A 17393-nucleotide genomic window follows, 5' to 3' on the forward strand; every position below is an offset into this window, starting at 1 on the left:
GGGGAGACGGGAGAGGGAGAGGGAGACCGTGGGGAGACGGGGGAGACCGTGGGGAGACGGGAGAGGGAGAGGGAGAGGGAGAGCTGGATTTCAAAGCTTCATCCATGCTGAGCTGCAAGGGGAATGGACAGAACTGGAAACTGGGGCAGACTGGAGTTGCCAGCCTAGGCTGGGCTGTGAGCTCCATGGAGCAGATGCCGGGCCATCCTGCCCCGGCTCTAAGCCCAGCCCCAGGCCAGGGCCGGCACCTGGTAGGCTCTTCATGAGTGCTTCCTGAATGAATGCTGCAGAATGGAAATTCTTTTATGAAGAGAAAAATCAGAACTGATTTGAGCTCCTCTGTCAGCCTTACTTCCCTCATCTGTTTCAGTAGAGCTAAATACCCATGGTTGTGTTTGTGTGGCATTTTCTGCAAAATGAAAAGAAAGAAGCATTCTTTTTGGGTTGGTTCTTTATAATCAAAATGGGTATATATCTTTTAGCTTGAAAACTCAAATCCCAGTAATTGAATAGAATGCACTGACCCTGAGGATAAGTTATCATGCCTTTGAACCCTTCCCCAGTATCATAAGAGGAAAGGAAAGGGTGAATATAAGGTTAATGGATTCTGCTGCTAAACCGAACTTGGAAACGAGGTTTCATTGATTTAATATTTCCTCTATTAAGCCTCCCAAGACTGTATCCCTTGTAGCCCTACCAAAGTGCAATCTCTGTACTTTCTTCTCCATGAGAGTCTGTGCCACAGCTTGAGTTCTGTGAAGGGGAGAGACTACTACCCCCTAGCCAGCTGGCCTCTCCCCTTCCTGGCTCAAAAGAGTAGCAAGTCCAGGCCCGCAGGCAAAGCTGCTTCCATCAGGATAAGTCTCCTCTTGAGGAGGCTGCTGGATTTATGGCTGCAGACATGCCCCTGCTGTGTGTGACCCAGGTGGTGAGTCATTCCCTCTGGGCGTGGACAGAGGAGGGGTGTTCAGAGACAGCTGCAGGAAGAGCAGGGGCAGGAGGCAGGCACCATTTCACTGCTGCAGGCTCCCAGCACACCTGGGGCTCATTCTGTGTCTGGATAAGCCATAGGGTGACAGGGCACACTGCTGTCTCAGTGGCTACATTGTGTCCTCCCCCTTAACCTTCCTGGAACCTCTGCCCTCAGTCTTTTCTTCTCTAAACAGATGTGCCTACCACCACCCCCATTCTTCCTAGGCCTGCCTGCCCTCCCTTGGGGGGCTCTGATTTCCCTGTTAGGCCCAGGTCTGCTCCTTGCTGGCTTTATGACTTTTACTCTCTTTCCCACATGCATGAAAAGGGCAGAGAGGGGGTATGGCATCTCTGGGGCCTATCTGGCTCTTAACCATTGCTGACATGCATTCTCATCCCTTCCTCTCCTCCTCCACTTTCCCCATCTTGTAGACAAGTATCAAATACTGCTTCTGTAACTGCCAGCCTGGTGCCATCTGAGGACTGACTTTGGTTAAGATTGCTCCAAATCTCAAGAGCCTCCTAGCCCCTGCCCAGTCCTCTGGCTGTGTATTGCATTCATGTGAAGTCAGATTCTTACTATTTGGGGGTGGGGTTGCTTTCTCAGAGCAGGGGCTTGGAGGCACCTGGGTGGTCAAGTCTTTGAGTCTTTGAGTGCCAAGTGTGATGAATAAAGAGAAAAGGTTAGGGATATATCTTTTTTAGGTAAAAAAAAATTTAAAAAGAGCAGTAAATAAAACAATGAGGCTTTTTAATGCAGACAGAAGACTGTTGCACAAATGTTTTGAGCAACAGCTATATTTTTGGAGTGTGCTGTCACTGCTTGTAAAGTATAGCTTTTGTTTGGATGTGTGAGTTCTATCTAGTTTGTTACGTAAAAAACAAGTGTCACTTCACCATAGCTGCATCCAGTAAAACAAGGATACTTCCAGCCTGTACAGAGGTCTTCTATGTTATTATCTGAGTATCGGCGAAGTGTGGATTGTATTAAACTTTTATTAAAATAGTGGTGATGGTATCCTTTCATGAATTGAGAGTTAGGATGGGGTAGTTTCAGAATTCCTCCAAGATATTAACTTCAGATCCAAACTCAGGCTTTGCTAGCAGGTGAGACTATATCATGCAAACATCCAGGCTTTAGAGACAGAACTAGGATCAAATATTGGTACCACCAATTCAATGATGGGATCCTGGCTTACCAGGTGTGAAGTGGTATCCCAGTGTGGTTTTGTTTTGTATTTCTCTAATGACTACTGATGTTGAGCATTTTTTCATGTGCTTTTTGGCCATTTGTATATCTTCTTTGGAGACATATCTATTCAATTTTTTTGGCCCCTCACCCCTTTTTTTTAAGAGACAGGATCTCACTTTGTCACCTAGAATGGAGTGCAGTGGCCCAATCATAGCAGCATAGCTCATTGCAACCTTGAAATCCTGGTCTCAAGCAATCCTCCCACCTCAGCCTCCCAAGTAGCTGGGACTTCAGGGATGCACCACCACAACTAGATAATTTTCTTTAAAAAAATTTATGTAGAGATGGGGTCTTGCTATGTTACCCAGGCTGATCTTGAACGCCTGGCCTCAAGTGATCCTCTTGCCTTGGCCCCCCAAAGTACTAGGATCACAGGCATGAGCCACAATGCTTGGCTCCATTTTTAAACTGAGTAGGTTTTTTTTTTTTTTTTTGGTTGTTAAGCTGTAAGAGTTCTTTATATATTCTGAATATTAATCCCGCCTATTTTATGGTTGTCTTTTCACTCTCTTGATTGTATCTTTTAATGCACAAAAGTTTTAAATTTTGATTGTCCCATTTATCTATTTTTTCTTTTGTTGCCTGTGGTTTTGGTACCATATCTCAGAAATCTTTGCTAAATCCAATGTCATGATTTCCCCTTTTTAAGATTTTTTTTTTTTTTTTTGAGATGGAGTCTTGCGCTGTCACCCAGGCTGGAGTGCAGTGGCGCGATCTCAGCTCACTGCAAGCTCTACCTCCTGGGTTCACGCCCTTCTCCTGCCTCAGCCTCCTGAGTAGCTGAGACTACAGGCGCCCACCACTATGCCAGGCTAATTTTTTGTATTTTTAGTAGAGACGGGGTTTCACTGTGTTAGCCAGGATGGTCTCGATCTCCTGACCTCGTGATCTGCCTGCCTTGGCCTCCCAAAGTGCTGGGATTACAGGCATGAATCACCGCGCCCGGCCTATTTTAAGATTTTTATAGTTTTCCCTTCGCTCTTATGTTTAGGTCTTTGGTCTGTTTGGGGTTCATTTTTGCATATGGTATAAGATAATGGTCCGACTTCACTCTTTTGCATGTGGATATTCAGTTTTCCCAGCACCATTTGTTGAAAAGACTGTCCTTTCCCCTCTAAATACTTTTGGCACCCTTGCTGAAAATCAATTGACCATATACGGGAGAGTTTATTTCTGAGTTCTCTACTTTATTCCATTGGTCCATGTGTCTTTCCTTATTCCAATACCATGATGTTGTGATTATTATAGTTTTGAAGTAAGTTTTGAAATCAGGAAGTGTGAGTCCTCCAACTTTGTTCTTTTTAAAGGTTGTTTAGGGCCAGGCGCAGTGGCTCACGCCTGTAATCCCGATACTTTGGGAGGCCGAGGTGAGTGGATCTCATGAGGTTAGGAGTTTGACACCAGTCTGGTCAACACAGTGAAACCCTGTCTCTACTAAAAATACAAAAATTAGCCAGGCACAGTGGCTCACACCTGTAATCCCAGCATTTTGGGAGGCCGAGGCAGGTGGATCACGAGGTCAAGAGATTGAGACCATCCTGGCCAACCAACATGGTGAAACCCCATCTCTACTAAAAATACATAAATTAGCTGGGCGCAGGGGCACACACCTATAGTCCCAGCTACTCCGGAGGCTGAGGCAGGAGAGTCACTTGAACTCAGCAGGCAGAGGTTGCAATGAGCCGAGATCACGCCACTGCACTCCAGCCTGGGAGACAGAGTGAAACTCCATCTAAAAAAATTAAAAAATTTAAAAAATTAGCTGGGCGTGGTGGCGCACACCTGTTGTCCCAGGTGCTTGGGAGGCTGAGCCAGGAGAATCACTCGAACCTGGGAGGCAGAGGTTGCAAAATGAGCCAAAATCACATCACTGCACTCCAGCCTGGGCGACAGAGCAAGACCCCATCTCAAAAAAATAAATAAAAATAAATAAAAATTAAAGGTTGTTTGGCTATTTGGGGTCCCTTGAGATTTCATGTGAATTTTAGGATGGATTTTTCTATTTCTGAAAAAAATACCATTGGTCTTTTTTTTTTTTTTTTTTTTTTTTTTTTTTCAGAGACAGGGTCTTGCTATGTTGCCCAGTCTGGACTCAAACTCCTGGGCTCAAGCAATCCTCCCATCTTAGCCTTCCAAGTAGCTGGGAATACATGTGCATGCCACCATGCCTGGCTTCATTGCAATTTTAACTGGGATTTCATTACATCTGTAGATCACTTTGGGTAGTGTTGTCATCTTAAAAATATTAGCTTCCCAGGCCAGCTCATGCCTGTAAATCCCATCACTTTGGGAGGCCAAGGTGGGAAGACTGCTTGAGCTCAGGAGTTTAAGAACAGCCTGGGCAACATAAGGAGACCCCATCCCTACAAAAAATTTAAAAATTAGCCAGGAGTGGTGGCTTACACCTGTCATTTCATCTACTCAGGAGGCTAAGGTGGGAGGATGACTTGAGCCCGGGAGGTCAAGGCTGCACTGAGCCGTAATTGAGCCACTGCACTCCAACCTGGGCAACACAATGAGGCTGCCTTAAAAAAAAACTGTCTTCCCATCTATGAACACAGGATGTTTTTCCATATATTTATGTCTTCTTTCTTCTTTAATTTCTTTCAGCAACGTTTTATAGTTTTCGGTGCACAATTTTTTGCTGCCTTGGTTAATTCCTAGGTATTTTATTTTTTTAGAGGCTAGTGTAAATGGAATTGTTTTCTTTTCTTTTCAGATTGTTCATTGTTAATGTATATTAACAGAAACACAACTGATTTTTGAATGTTGATTTTGTATCCTGCAGCTTTGGTAAATTTATGTTATTCGCTCTAGCAGTTTTTCTTTTTTTTTTTGTTTTGTGGTATCTTCAAGGTTTTCTACATGTAAAGTCATGTCATCAGGGAACAGAGATAATTTTACTCCTTCCTTTCCCATTGAGATGCCTTTTATTTCTTTTTCTTCCCTAACTGCTCTGGCTACAATTTCCAATACCATGTTGAATAGAAGTGGTGAAAGGCAGCATCGTTGCGCCTATATATATTTTTACAAAACACAGTCATACACCATGAGAGCAAACAAAGCTGAAGAGAAGACCCATTTGAGTCCTTATTCCATAAAAAATTGCAAGAGGGTGAAAACAGGAACCATAACAGGATCTGCAGGTCTTTGCAAGCCCTGAGAAAGTCACCTCAGACTTCTGTCTGGAAAGCCTTCTCTCCAGCCTATCTGCCCATATCTAGCTCCCATCCAACGTCCTCTCCAGAACCTTCTTTGCTGCCGCCCACAAGAGAGGCCCTCTGATGGGCTCCAGCACCTGATAGTACAGTTCACACAAGGACTGAGCCTTCAAGACCATTCTAATGTTCTGAGAACTTTTTCAAATCTTACCGGCTTAATGAGCCGTTAAGTATCTTCTTGGCCCCCAACCCCAACCTAAACTGGAAGCTGCTTGGAGGCAGGACATCTTCATGTCAAGAAGGCCTGGCTTTATGCTGATGAGGGCCCTTTATAAGTAAAATGATGATTATAAACCCTTCTGAGGCCCCCAGGTGACAGGCACTGGGCAGTCTGGTGAGATGAGAGCTCGGTTCCCAGCTGTCCCCGGTTCTCCCTTCAGACTTAGAAGCAGGAGAAATGTGCATTATAATGGAGTCTAGAACAGGGAGTGTGAACTCAGATTTTGGTGAGTTCTAGTTCTGCCAATTACTGTGTGACTACAGGCAATAACTTGACCTCTCCAAGCCTTTTGGACTGCTGCAAAATGCTGCAATAACAGCACTCTCTCACACAGTGGCTGTTAGAGGAGACTAAATAATACAGAAAACACCTGACAGAGCCTCTAATACAGAGGACCTTTCCTTGCTGTTACTTCTAACTTTATTACAGCTCTTCTGAAAGGAGCTCTGCCAGTGCCCTCCCCTTGCACCCCCCTCCTCTCCCATTCCCGTGTCACCACTGCCACCTACAGGTAAACAGCCATCCACAAGCTACACCCATCAGATTCAAAACCCTGGGAGCTCTAGCTTTCTGGATTTCTGGGTTACTGAGCCAGGAAGACCTCCATGCTTCCAGAAGGAAGCCCCCAAACTTGGCTTGCCCCACCTGTAGGGTAAAGGAGCAGGCACACCACAATTTCCTTAAGAATCCAAGCATTAAAACTCCAAGAGGTCTTAGAGACCATCTAGTAAAAAGATTCCCCATAAGTCCACATTTCCTGGACCCCAGGAAGTGGGGCATGGGGGAGGAGGGGCCACGGTGTTGTTGCAAGTTCCCTATGGGCAGTTTCTTGCCCTTAAAGCTACCATTGAACCACTGGTCTCAAGTCTTCAAGGAAATGGCTCTCATTCTTTTCACCAAAAAAATGGAGAAACAGAAGAGAGAATGAAAACCTGTTTATTTGGTTTGAGCCAGGTTCTTGACAGACATTACCTCATTTAACCCTACCATCCCACGCCCCAGCCGCCAGGAAGGTTCTCTCTCTCTAATAGGAAGAAAATGAAGCCTGGTGGGGTGACTAGCCCCACAGTGTGCAGAGAGGAGGTAGCAATACTGCCAACCACATGACCCAGGTCTTCCTGGTAAGCCTGGCCTTGGACCCTGATCCATCCTCAGGTAGAGGGTCACAGAGGCAAAGAAGACCCTGGCCTCCACAATAGACGGTCCAGAGTATTGGATGCAGCCCACCCTCCTGATTTTTAGGTGAAGTCTAAAGACCCTCCTGATTTTTAGGTGAAGTCTTAAGTGTAAAAGAGAGTGCTGGTGAAAGTGTCAAGTTAAATTAGATGCTGGGTCACTTTATTCTCTCGTTCTTTTTTTTTTTAATTAATACATCTTTTATTTTGGAATAATTTTATATTTACTGAAAAGTTGCAAAGATAGAACAGAGTTCTCATTTGCTCTTCTCACCGTTTCCGCTAATGTTCAATATTTTTTTTTTTTTTTTTTTTTTTGAGATGGAGTCTCGCTCTGTTGCCCAGGCTGGAGTGCAGTGGTACAATCTCAGCTCACCACAACCGCCGGCTCCCGGGTTCAAGCAATTCTCCAGCCTCAGTCTCCCAAGCAGCTGGGACTACATGTGTCTGTCACCACACCAGCTAATTTGTGTATTTTTAGTAGAGACGGGGTTTCACAATGTTGGCCAGGCTGGTCTCGAACTCCTGACCTCGTGATCCACCCGCCTTGGCCTCCCAAAGTTCTGGGATTACAGGAGTGAGCCACTGCGCCCGGCTTTTTTTCTTTTTCTTGAGACGGAGTATCACCCTGTTGCCCAGGCTGGAGTGCAGTGGTGCGATCTCGGCTCACTGAAACCTCTGCCTCCTGAGTTCAAGCAATTCTCCTGCCTCAGTCTCCTGAGTAGCTGGGATTACAGGCGCCCGCCACCATGCCCAGCTAATTTTTGTATTTTTAGTAGAGACGGGGGTTTCACCATGTTGGCCAGGCTGGTCTCAAACTCCTGACCTCAGGTGATCCACCCGCCTCAGCCTTCAAAGTGCTGGGATTACAGGTGTGAGCCACCGTTGCAGGCAGTTCACATCTTACATAACCACTGCACACAGGCCAAAACTAAAAAGTTAACATTGGTATAGTACTATTAACTGAACTCCAGATGTTATTTGGATTTCTCCAGTTTTTCCAATAATGCCCTTTTTCTGCTCATGATCCGATCCAGAATACCACACTGCATTTTGTTTTCCTCTCTTTGAAACCTTCTGTTTTCTTTAAAGACCAATAAACTCTCAAACTCCCCAACTTATTCTCCTGTCTGGAGAGCTCAGTTCTAAAGGACAGCTCTGTGTGAGCCCCAATTCCACACCCTGGCCTCATTAGGACACCACATCCTCCCACTCCCCAAACAAAGGAACCCTTCAGGCCAGCCAAACAACAGAGAAAACAGAAGCTTGTTAGCCACACAGGCCCGAGGCTGCTGACCCAAGTTCTTTTTTAACTGGAATTCCCTTGAGGAGGATCCACAGATTTAAAATGCATTTGGGGTGTGCTCTCTAGAAGCAGAGCCACTGGTATTTGATGTATGCCGTTCTTTGTACTTAATGGAATAACTTACGTGTGAGTCAGTGTGTGAGAGTAGCTGGGGGAAGAGGCCAATTTAGGGCCAGGATGGAAATTGGCCATGGGGGAGGAAAGGCCTCTGCAGGAGCCAGCCAGGCCCCAAGATGGTGCCAGGCTTTGGGGAAGAGGGGGCTGTGGCCAGCTTGTCCCAGCCTAGCAGGCTGTGCTCTAATGTCAGACAGGTGGGGGTGGCTGGGAGGATCAAAGTTTCTCTGTGACCTGGTGATCAGGTTACAGTTTCTGCTTAAAGCAGAGCAGATAAGGGAAAGTGGGGGCGGGGTGGGGGGGTGGGATTCACCTGTCCTGTCTTCCTCTCGGCCTCTTCGTGCAGTCTGCTTTGCTGCCAATTTCTTCTTCCCCAGAGCGCCTCCCAGGGGCTGTTCCCCTCGCCCTCGTGCCCACCATTCACCACCAGCACTCTCAGAGAAGAGAGGAGGTGTGCCTGAGAATTTCACAGTGTGCCACACTGTCACCAGCCTTTTTTTTGAGCTTCTCCCGATGACAGAGACACATCCCAGAGATGTGAATGCCACTCCTTGGGAAGGATTATCCAAAGACTTCCCAGCTCAATTTAAAAACTTCAACTGTGAGGCCTCTCCCTGCCAGACTGGGATGGAAAGAAGTAAGATGGAGCCCCTACACTGAAAGCACTCCCCAGGAAAGACCTGCAGCCAGCCATCCAGGACACAGGGCACAGACCTGAGGCTGAACAGGGGAGCAGAGGGGACTGTGAAAGCTAAGAAATGGGCCTGGTACAAGGAAAGAGCAGGAATTTGAAGAGAGAGGAACATCATAGGCTATGCAAACAGCCTCCCAGGGCCAGGGCCTCGGTGAAGGGGAGCGGTGAGAGGAGGCCAGCTCTGGAGTGTCCTTTCATTTTCTCTAAGGAGTCTGGGCTTTCCACAGGAGGCAACATGGGGCTTTTCAACAGGAGTGACAAGAATATTTATGTCTGAGACAGATCGCTCTGGTAACAGCATGGGGGCTGTAGTGGAGTGGAGAGACTGCAGGCAGGAAGCAGGGGGCAGGTTATCACAACTGCTCAGTGAGAAAAGGAGACAGGACAGCATGTTGGTCAAGGTCATGGCTTTGAATCTGGGGACTGGGGGTCAGTCTTGGCTCTCTCTGACCTAGGACACATTTCTCACGCTCTCTGAATTTCATCCATAAAACGGGCAAAACAATTGTACCTCCTCACAGGGTGTGGTTAAGATCAAATAAGTTAGTGATATAAGACACGAAACAGGGAACCTGGAACATAGTGAGGGCGCAATAAATATGAACCACAATTCTTAACTTGTGTATTCTGTGGACTGCATCTCAGGAAAGACGGAATTCCAGCGGGGAAGCAGAAGGGGAGGGTGACTGTCTCCAATGCTTTTATTGCAGCCTCCAGGTGGAATAGTGAAGTGGCCACCTTAACTGCCTCCTGGAGTGTGAGCAGAGAGGACCAGGACAAGGCTGCAATCTGTTGGCCAGGCACCAACTAGCCTGTGAGGCCAACCAGGGACCGCAGGCATCACCAGGAACAAGGCTATAAAAAGGCCTCAAAGAGTGATTACAAAATTCCACACCAGGAGAAAGACTCCCAGAAGTTTCCCAGGGCTCATACCTGCTGTGCTCATTAAAGCCACAGTGTTGGCTGGGCGCAGTGGCTCACGCCTGTAATCCCAGCACTTTGGAAGGCCAAGGCAGGCGGATCGCCTGAGATCAAGAGTTCAAGACCAGCCTGGCCAACTTGATGAAATCCTGGTCTCTACTAAACATACAAAAAAATTAGCCAGGCGTGGTGGTGGGTGCCTGTAATCCCAGCTATTTGGGAGGCTGAGGCAGGAGAATCACTTGAACCCGGGAGGTGGAGGTTGCAGTGAGCCGAGATCGCGCCACTGCATTCCAGTCTGGGCGACAAGAGTGAAACTCCATCTCAAACAACAACAACAAAACAACAACAACAACAACAACAACAAACACCCATGGTAAAACTTCAACACTTGTATTAACATGTATTTTTAAGCCTGGGCAACATAGGGAGACCCTGTCTCTACAAAAAAAAATTTTTTTTTAATTAGCTGGGCGCAGTGGTGAGCATCTGTAGTTTCACCTACTCCAGAGCCTGAGGCAGGAGGATCACTTGAGGCTAGGAGGTCAAGGCTACAGTGAGTCGTGATCGCACCACTGCACTCCAGCCTGGGCAAGAGGGTGAGACCCCATCTCAAAAGAAAAAAGTTAAAATTGTAGATTTTATGTTATACACATCTTTAAAATGGTAAAAAAGATACTTGGGAGGCAAGAGGATCACTTAAGCCCAGGAACTGGAGGCTGGGAGACACTCCAGTCTGAGAGACAGAGCAAGAACTTGTGTCTAAAAAAGAAAAAAAAAGGCCGGGCGCGGTGGCTGTCGCCTGTAATCTCAGCACTTTGGGAGGTCGAGGTGGGCAGATCATAAGGTCAGGAGTTTGAGACCAGCCTGGCCAACATGGTGAAACCCCGTCTCCACTAAAAAAATACAAAAATTAGCCAGGCATGGTGGTATGCACCTGTAATCCCAGCTACTCGGGAGGCTGAGGCAGGAGAATTACTTGAACCCAGGAGCAGAGGTTGCAGTGAGCCGAGATCGCGCCACTGCACTCCAGAATGGGCAACAGAGCAAGACTCTGTCTCAAACAAAAACAAAAACAAAGGTAAAAATGACTACATATTGTATGATTCCATTTATATAAAATGTCCAGAATAGGCAAATCTATAGAGACAGAAAATAGATTAGTGATTGCCTGGGGTTGGAAGGGCTGGGGGAAATGGGGAGTGATTGCTAATGGGTACGGAATGATGAAAATGTTCTAAAACTGATTGTGGTAATGGCTGAACAACGCTGTGAATACAATGTTTTTTAAAAAAAACTCTGTGACTATACTAAAAACCACTGACTTGTACATTGTAAATGGGTGAATTGTATGGCATATGAATTATATCTCAATAAAGCTGTTGAAAAATGGGAGAAAAGCTACTAGGAATGTGTTCAATGTAGTATTATTTAAAATCCTTAGCTGGGTGCAGTGGCTCAAGCAGGAGGATCACTTAAGCCCAGGAGTTTGAGACCAGCCTGAGCAACATAAACCTTGCCTCTACAAAAAATACAAAATTAGCCAGGCATGGTGGTACATGCCTGTAGTCCCCAGCTACTCAAGAGGCTGAGATAGGAGTATTGCTTCAGCACGGAAGACTGAGGCTGCAGCGAACCGTGATCACATCACTGCACTCCAGCCTGAGGGACAGAGTGAGACCCTGCCTCAAAAATAAAATAAAATTCTTAAAACTTCTCAAATATAAAATAAAAAAGTGATGATTAAATATAGTATATTGATTCCACTGAATATTATATAGCTATTGATATAGTTTGGATATTTGTCCCCACCCAAATCTTATGTTGAATTGTAGTTCCCAATGCTGGAGGTAGGGCCTGGTGGGCAGATCCTTCATGCCTTGATGATGTCTTTGTGATAATTCTTGCAATATCTGGTCAGTTAAAAGTGTGTGGCACTCCCTCCTCCACTCTCTCTCTCTGTTTTTTGTTCCTGTTTTCACCATGTGAGGTGCCTGCTCTCCCTTCCCCTTCTGCCATGAGTAAAAGCTTCCTGAAGCCTCCTCAGAAGCAGCTGCCAGTACTATGCTTCCTATACAGCCTGCAAAACCATGAGCCAAATAAACCTCTTTTATAAATTACCTAGTCTCAGGTATTTCTTTATGGCAATGCAAGAACAACCTAATACAGCCATTATAAGTAATAATTCTTAAAACCATATAGAAACATTTTGTAATGATGTAAGAAAAAAAAGACACAAAATTGATTTTTAAAAAAACATGCATATGGATAATGCCTGGAAGATAAATGGGAAAAAGTGAAAATAATCAGTGTGTTGAAGTATTTGGCTTAAAGGCAAACTTTAAAAATTTTTTATGTTATTACTGTTACAAAAAGAAGGAAAGAGGATATTATACAGCAAAAGACTAAGAAAGAAAGTGGCAAACTAATGACCAAAACTAAAAGCCAGTTATTTAATTCTTCCATCAAAAATAGCCAGGTATAGCCCAGGCGCAGTGGCTCATGCCTCTAATCCCAGCACTTTGCCACGCTGAGGTGGGAGGATCTCTTGAGCTCAGGAGTTCAAGACCAGCCTGGCCAACATAGCGACCTCACCTCGTGTCTACCAAAAAAAAAAAAAAAAAAAAAAATTAGCCAGATGTGGTAACGCATGCCTATAGTCCCAGCTACTTGGGAGGCTGAGGTAGGAAGATCGCTTGAGCCCAGGAGATGGAGGCTGCAGTAAGCTATGATGGTGCCACTGTACTCTAGCCTGGGTGACACAGTGAGACCCTGTCTCAAAAAAAAAAAAAAAAAGCTAGGTATAGGCTATAGGTTAGTCGTGGTGCCTCATGCCCATAATCCCAGCACTTTGGAAGGCCAAGGCAGGAAGTCCACTTGAGCCCAGGAATTCAAAACCAGCCTGGGTAACACAGCAAGACCTTGTCTCTACCAAAAATTTAAAAATTAGCAGGGCTCAGTGGCACGCACCTGTAGTCCCAGCTACTCCACAGGCTGAGGTGAGAGGATCACTTGAGCACAGGATGTCGAGGCCGCAGTGAGTTGTGATCATACCACTGTATTCTAGCCTGGGGGACAGAGTAAAACTCTGTCTCTTGGAGAAAAAAAAAAAAAAAAGCTAGGTACAAGCTTTCAAGCTGGCCTAAACATAAGTAAGCTTCATTACTTAGTCTGAACATACAGACTTAAGGATAAAAGCCTGGTAACCCCAATATCTCTCAAAAGGCATTTTATTCTGACCAGGCCTCCCTGCTAACTCTCCCTTGTCCCAAAGGAGGTCACCCAGGGTACCCAGCTAGTTAAGGAGGACCAAACTGAGAGCCAGTCTGGACTGGCACAAGGGGAGATGCGGACATAAATGTACACGTGTTTCACATTCCAAAGCCAAATACAATAGGGTTCTAGATCATCTGGGAAATTACTCCTATTCATCAACATAGAAAGGTCACGAATATCAACAGTGAGAACAAACAGGGAAGATTACATTTAAATGTAACCATATTTGGGCCTGGTGTGATGGATTACACCTGTAATCCCAGCAGTTTTGGAGGCCGAGGCGGGCGGATTGCTTGAGCTCAGGAGTTCAAGACCAGCCAACATGGTGAAACTCCATCTTTACAAAATATACAAAAATTAGCTGGGCCTGGTAGCACACGCCTGTAATCCCAGCTACTTGAGAGGTTGAGGCACAAGAATCGCTTGAACCTGGGAGGCAGAGGTTGCAGTGAGCAAGGATCACACCACTGCACTCCTGTCTGGGCGACAGAGAGGGACTCTGTCTCAAAAAAAAGGAAGAAAGAAAAAGAAAAAGAAATGTAACCATATTTAAATATGAAGAAGAGCCCCAACACAAGCATGTATTCCTGTTTATACAATATTCAGGGCTAACAGACTTATCACACACAGGTTGTGTAACTTATTAATGACAATGTGACTTTAAACAGTAGTTCTAAGTGGGTCACCTTGAATAATACGAAACAAAGCTTGCCAAGGGAAACATGCAAATAAGATCAAAATCCAACAGGGAATAGGCATTTTCCTAGCTTTTCGGATTTTTACTGTAGAAAAATAAACACAGTATCTATCTAGTTTCTTTAGCACTAAAAAAACCAACAGCATGAAACTGCATTCTTCAATGGGGGTGGAGTCCAAAGGGACAGGCCCGACATTATTTTCAGCACACTGTACCAAGTCAAGCTGGTATGTGGATAAAGCAGCACAGCTGGGTTTACCATGTGAGTAACGGGCAGAGAGAACCTACCACCCTATGTGGCGCAAACCACATGAGGCCAGCTGCAGAGGCTGTGGAGAGAGGCCTCTCTTTATCCCTTCTTCTTTCCCTCCATCTCTTTCTGAGGCCAGGACCTGCATGCAGACCTTTCTTGATAAAGAACTCAACCTCAATGTGATACATCAAGGGAAACATTCCCTGAAGAACATGGTGGAGCAAATAAACATTTGGCCTCGTGAGAATGGCCACAGAAAACACTAGGGAATCTTAAACTGTCAGTTGGATGACTAGATATTTTATGATATTAAGGATTATGATTAATTTATTTTAGATATGATAATAAGCTGTTGGCTATACTTTTTTTTTTTTTTTTTGAGACAGGATCTCACTCAGTCACTCAGGCTGGGAATGCAGCGGCACAATCTTGGCTCACTGCAGCCTCAACCTTCCAGGCTCAAGTGAGCCTCCCACCCTCAGCCTCCTGAGTAGCTGGGACTACAGGCATGTGCCACCACACCTGGCTAATTTTTGTATTCGTGGTACAGCCAGGGTTTCACTATGTTACCCAGGCCTCCCAAAGTGTTGGGATTACAGGCATGAACCACCACACCCAGTCAGCTATACTTTTAAAAAGATTCCTTATCTTTTAGAAATGCATACTTAGGTATTCATAGATGAAATTATATGATGTCTGGGATTTACTGAAAAATAATCCAGGATAAAAGTGTGTGGGGCTATGGATGAACCAAAACTGCCATGAATTGATAATTGTAGAAGCTCAATGATGAGTATGTGGGGGTTCATTATAGTCATCTTTTTCCTTTTGTATATGTCTGAAATTTTCTGTAACAACAAAAAAAATCAGTAGGAGACAGCATAAAACCATTCATAACTTTGACCCGGCAATAGCCCCCTAAGGAAATAAATAAGGGGGAAGGGGAGAGCTGATTCTGCAAAGATGCATAATTGAGAAAAACACTGCTGCTCCCAACAAACGAGAAGATGGCTAAGCAACGAGGGTACATCAATAAGGCAAAAACGCTACGTGGCTTTTTAAAATGATAAATACTTCAGCCTAGTCGCTAAGTGGAAATCGGCATAGGAATGCTAAGAGGAAAACAGGCAGGATAAAATATTATGTGCATACTAATCACCACAAGGTAAAAATGCATGCTCACATAATGGAAAGGGTCAAAAGAGAACACAGAAGGCGACACCCTCCCTTTAACACTCAGCTCGTTGCCTCCTCTCAGTGAGGGCCCCAGACGGCCCCCGCGTGAGCATGCACACACGAGATGAATTAATTGCACTCTTCTGGGATCTCACAGTCCTCACTTGCTGAGGCTCATCCAGCCCCTATTGCTTGTCTAATGGTTCCTCATGGACCTGCCTTCCCTGATGCACCATGAATTTTACCAGCACACAGTAGGTATTCAATAATGTGTGTCAAACAGAATAGAACATAAATAGCTGCTGTCTGTGTCTCAGGATTTTTTTTTTCTTTAGAGCTATTCCCACCCACAGTAGCCATTCAGGAAAGGCATTCCTCAGTATCAGAGAACAATGCTTCCATTTCTGATTCACAAAGTGCTTCTGCTACGTGGGTTTATGAAGCCAGCAAGGCAAAACAAAATCAAGCAGACTTTCTGTCTAGATCCTTGCTGGACCACACAGAAAAATCCCATTTTGTTTTGCAAGCTTGTAACAAGTCTCATTGCTATGGTTCCTAATACCAAGTCTGAAGATTCCCCAAGCACTGCTGTGAGAACGGGCCTTTCCTTGGCTACTTAAAAATGCTGCATGGCTGCTCTCTGTGGCTGGCACTATAGTAAAGGGTACAAGCCAGAATGCAGTCGGGACTGTGGCTGCTCAGCAGCGTCAGGCGGGGAAGTCAAGAACTGCCCATCTAGACAGAAGTGGGCAGCAACACAGCCTGGGCCATGCTCCACCCAGTCTGAATGTTTCTCCATCTCTTCTGCTTAGAGCTGCTTTGAGCAGCAGGCTTTGGGTGGGTGAGAGGGGTTGATAGGGATATTCAAGAATGTCAGAGCCTGGGCGTGGTGGCTCACGCCTGTAATCCCAGCACTTTGGGAGGCAGGTGGATCACCTGAGATCGGGAGTTCCAGACCAGCCTGACCAACGTGGAGAAACCCCATCTCTACTAAAAATACAAAATTAGCCAGGCGTGGTGGAATGTGCCTGTAATCCCAGCTACTCAGGAGGCCGAGGCAGGAGAATCGCTTGAACCCGGGAAGCGGAGGTTGTGGTGAGCCGAGATCGCACCATTGTACTCCAGCCTGGGCAACAACAGCAAAAACTCCATCTCAAAAACAAAAAAAAGAATGTCAGGAAGAAATCCATAGACTGTCATTTTTCAGAGCAGTAGTTAACTTTTTGGATAAGATGTTAAAGGAAGAATACATTCCCTTTGAAAATCTGATAAGACCTTTCCAGAGAATTACACACACAATTCTGCACACACTTTCAACAGGTTATTCACCAATCCCTGGCCTCAGTCAGATACCACTTCTGCCCTAGAGCTTTAGCTGTGACTGTTGGTATGAACACTTAGACAAGTTAAACACAACATGAATTTCCACAACAGCAAGGCAGCTGCGATGAGTGAGGTACTACAGAGAGTGAGTGACAGCTCTGTTGGGAGGGCTGTCTCTGTGTCTTTATGAAGACCACTAGCAGAGATACAGAGCCCATGCCTGGGCACACACAGGAAGGCAAGAGCACCATGGTTAAGACACTCCATTCCAAAAACAAAACAAAAAAGACACTCCATTCTAGTTCTTCAGAAATGAGACTGCCAAGCCTGAAGTCCTTAAGGTTATCAGACCATGAGACAGCCTCTTTTTGTTGGACTGGAATGCTGACACTACTCATTATGCAGTCATTTTACCGAGTGTTGCCTTAAGTGCTCCAGAAAGTGGGGTATAGAGAATTACCAACATACAAACTTTAGCCCATTCTCCTAACAAAAACCAAAAAATTGGTCCAGATGGTCTTAGGAAATGACCAAATCAGAGACTCTTGTGAAAGTGGTTAAAAAAAAGGGGGGTCTGGGAATGTGTAGGACCTAACTTTGAACTTGGTAGGCACAAGGAGGACTGCAGAGACCCTCACGGTAGACAGACACCTGGCAGGCCCCTCCTGACACTTGGGGCTCCTAAGTCTGACTTATTCCACATCTTGTCCAAGAGATAAAATACCCTTCCCCAGCAGCCTCTTGCAATCAGCTCATCAATATGCCATGAAAATGTTTTGAAACAAGCTTTGGT

The 17393-nt window shown here is 45.4% G+C and overlaps 1 protein-coding gene across 17 annotated transcripts in view, besides 7 other annotated features; it reads right to left on the reverse strand.

Annotated features, from left to right (window-relative positions):
* The window catches only part of TOM1L2 (target of myb1 like 2 membrane trafficking protein), a 128890-nt gene that overhangs the window by 69690 nt on the left and 41807 nt on the right, over positions 1-17393 (reverse strand). The window lies entirely within an intron of this gene.
* Positions 1130-1752: an enhancer, noted in NCBI's record as "H3K27ac-H3K4me1 hESC enhancer chr17:17817644-17818266 (GRCh37/hg19 assembly coordinates)". NCBI's record gives its function as "activates a minimal SCP1, AML or CMV promoter by ChIP-STARR-seq in primed H9 embryonic stem cells {active_cell/tissue: H9 hESC(primed)}" and the evidence as "EXISTENCE:reporter gene assay evidence [ECO:0000049][PMID:30033119]".
* Positions 7141-7674: an enhancer, noted in NCBI's record as "H3K27ac-H3K4me1 hESC enhancer chr17:17823655-17824188 (GRCh37/hg19 assembly coordinates)". NCBI's record gives its function as "activates a minimal SCP1, AML or CMV promoter by ChIP-STARR-seq in naive H9 embryonic stem cells {active_cell/tissue: H9 hESC(naive)}" and the evidence as "EXISTENCE:reporter gene assay evidence [ECO:0000049][PMID:30033119]".
* Positions 7675-8208: an enhancer, noted in NCBI's record as "NANOG-H3K27ac-H3K4me1 hESC enhancer chr17:17824189-17824722 (GRCh37/hg19 assembly coordinates)". NCBI's record gives its function as "activates a minimal SCP1, AML or CMV promoter by ChIP-STARR-seq in naive H9 embryonic stem cells {active_cell/tissue: H9 hESC(naive)}" and the evidence as "EXISTENCE:reporter gene assay evidence [ECO:0000049][PMID:30033119]".
* Positions 8355-8649: a silencer, noted in NCBI's record as "tiled region #12990; K562 Repressive DNase matched - State 8:EnhW". NCBI's record gives its function as "represses a minimal TATA promoter and a strong SV40 promoter by Sharpr-MPRA in K562 cells {active_cell/tissue: K562}" and the evidence as "EXISTENCE:reporter gene assay evidence [ECO:0000049][PMID:27701403]".
* Positions 8743-9276: an enhancer, noted in NCBI's record as "H3K27ac-H3K4me1 hESC enhancer chr17:17825257-17825790 (GRCh37/hg19 assembly coordinates)". NCBI's record gives its function as "activates a minimal SCP1, AML or CMV promoter by ChIP-STARR-seq in primed H9 embryonic stem cells {active_cell/tissue: H9 hESC(primed)}" and the evidence as "EXISTENCE:reporter gene assay evidence [ECO:0000049][PMID:30033119]".
* Positions 9277-9810: an enhancer, noted in NCBI's record as "H3K27ac-H3K4me1 hESC enhancer chr17:17825791-17826324 (GRCh37/hg19 assembly coordinates)". NCBI's record gives its function as "activates a minimal SCP1, AML or CMV promoter by ChIP-STARR-seq in naive H9 embryonic stem cells {active_cell/tissue: H9 hESC(naive)}" and the evidence as "EXISTENCE:reporter gene assay evidence [ECO:0000049][PMID:30033119]".
* Positions 9811-10343: an enhancer, noted in NCBI's record as "H3K27ac-H3K4me1 hESC enhancer chr17:17826325-17826857 (GRCh37/hg19 assembly coordinates)". NCBI's record gives its function as "activates a minimal SCP1, AML or CMV promoter by ChIP-STARR-seq in naive H9 embryonic stem cells {active_cell/tissue: H9 hESC(naive)}" and the evidence as "EXISTENCE:reporter gene assay evidence [ECO:0000049][PMID:30033119]".

The sequence above is a fragment of the Homo sapiens genome, chromosome 17 (genome assembly GCF_000001405.40).
Source record: "Homo sapiens chromosome 17, GRCh38.p14 Primary Assembly".
NCBI classification, from domain to species: Eukaryota; Metazoa; Chordata; class Mammalia; order Primates; family Hominidae; genus Homo; species Homo sapiens.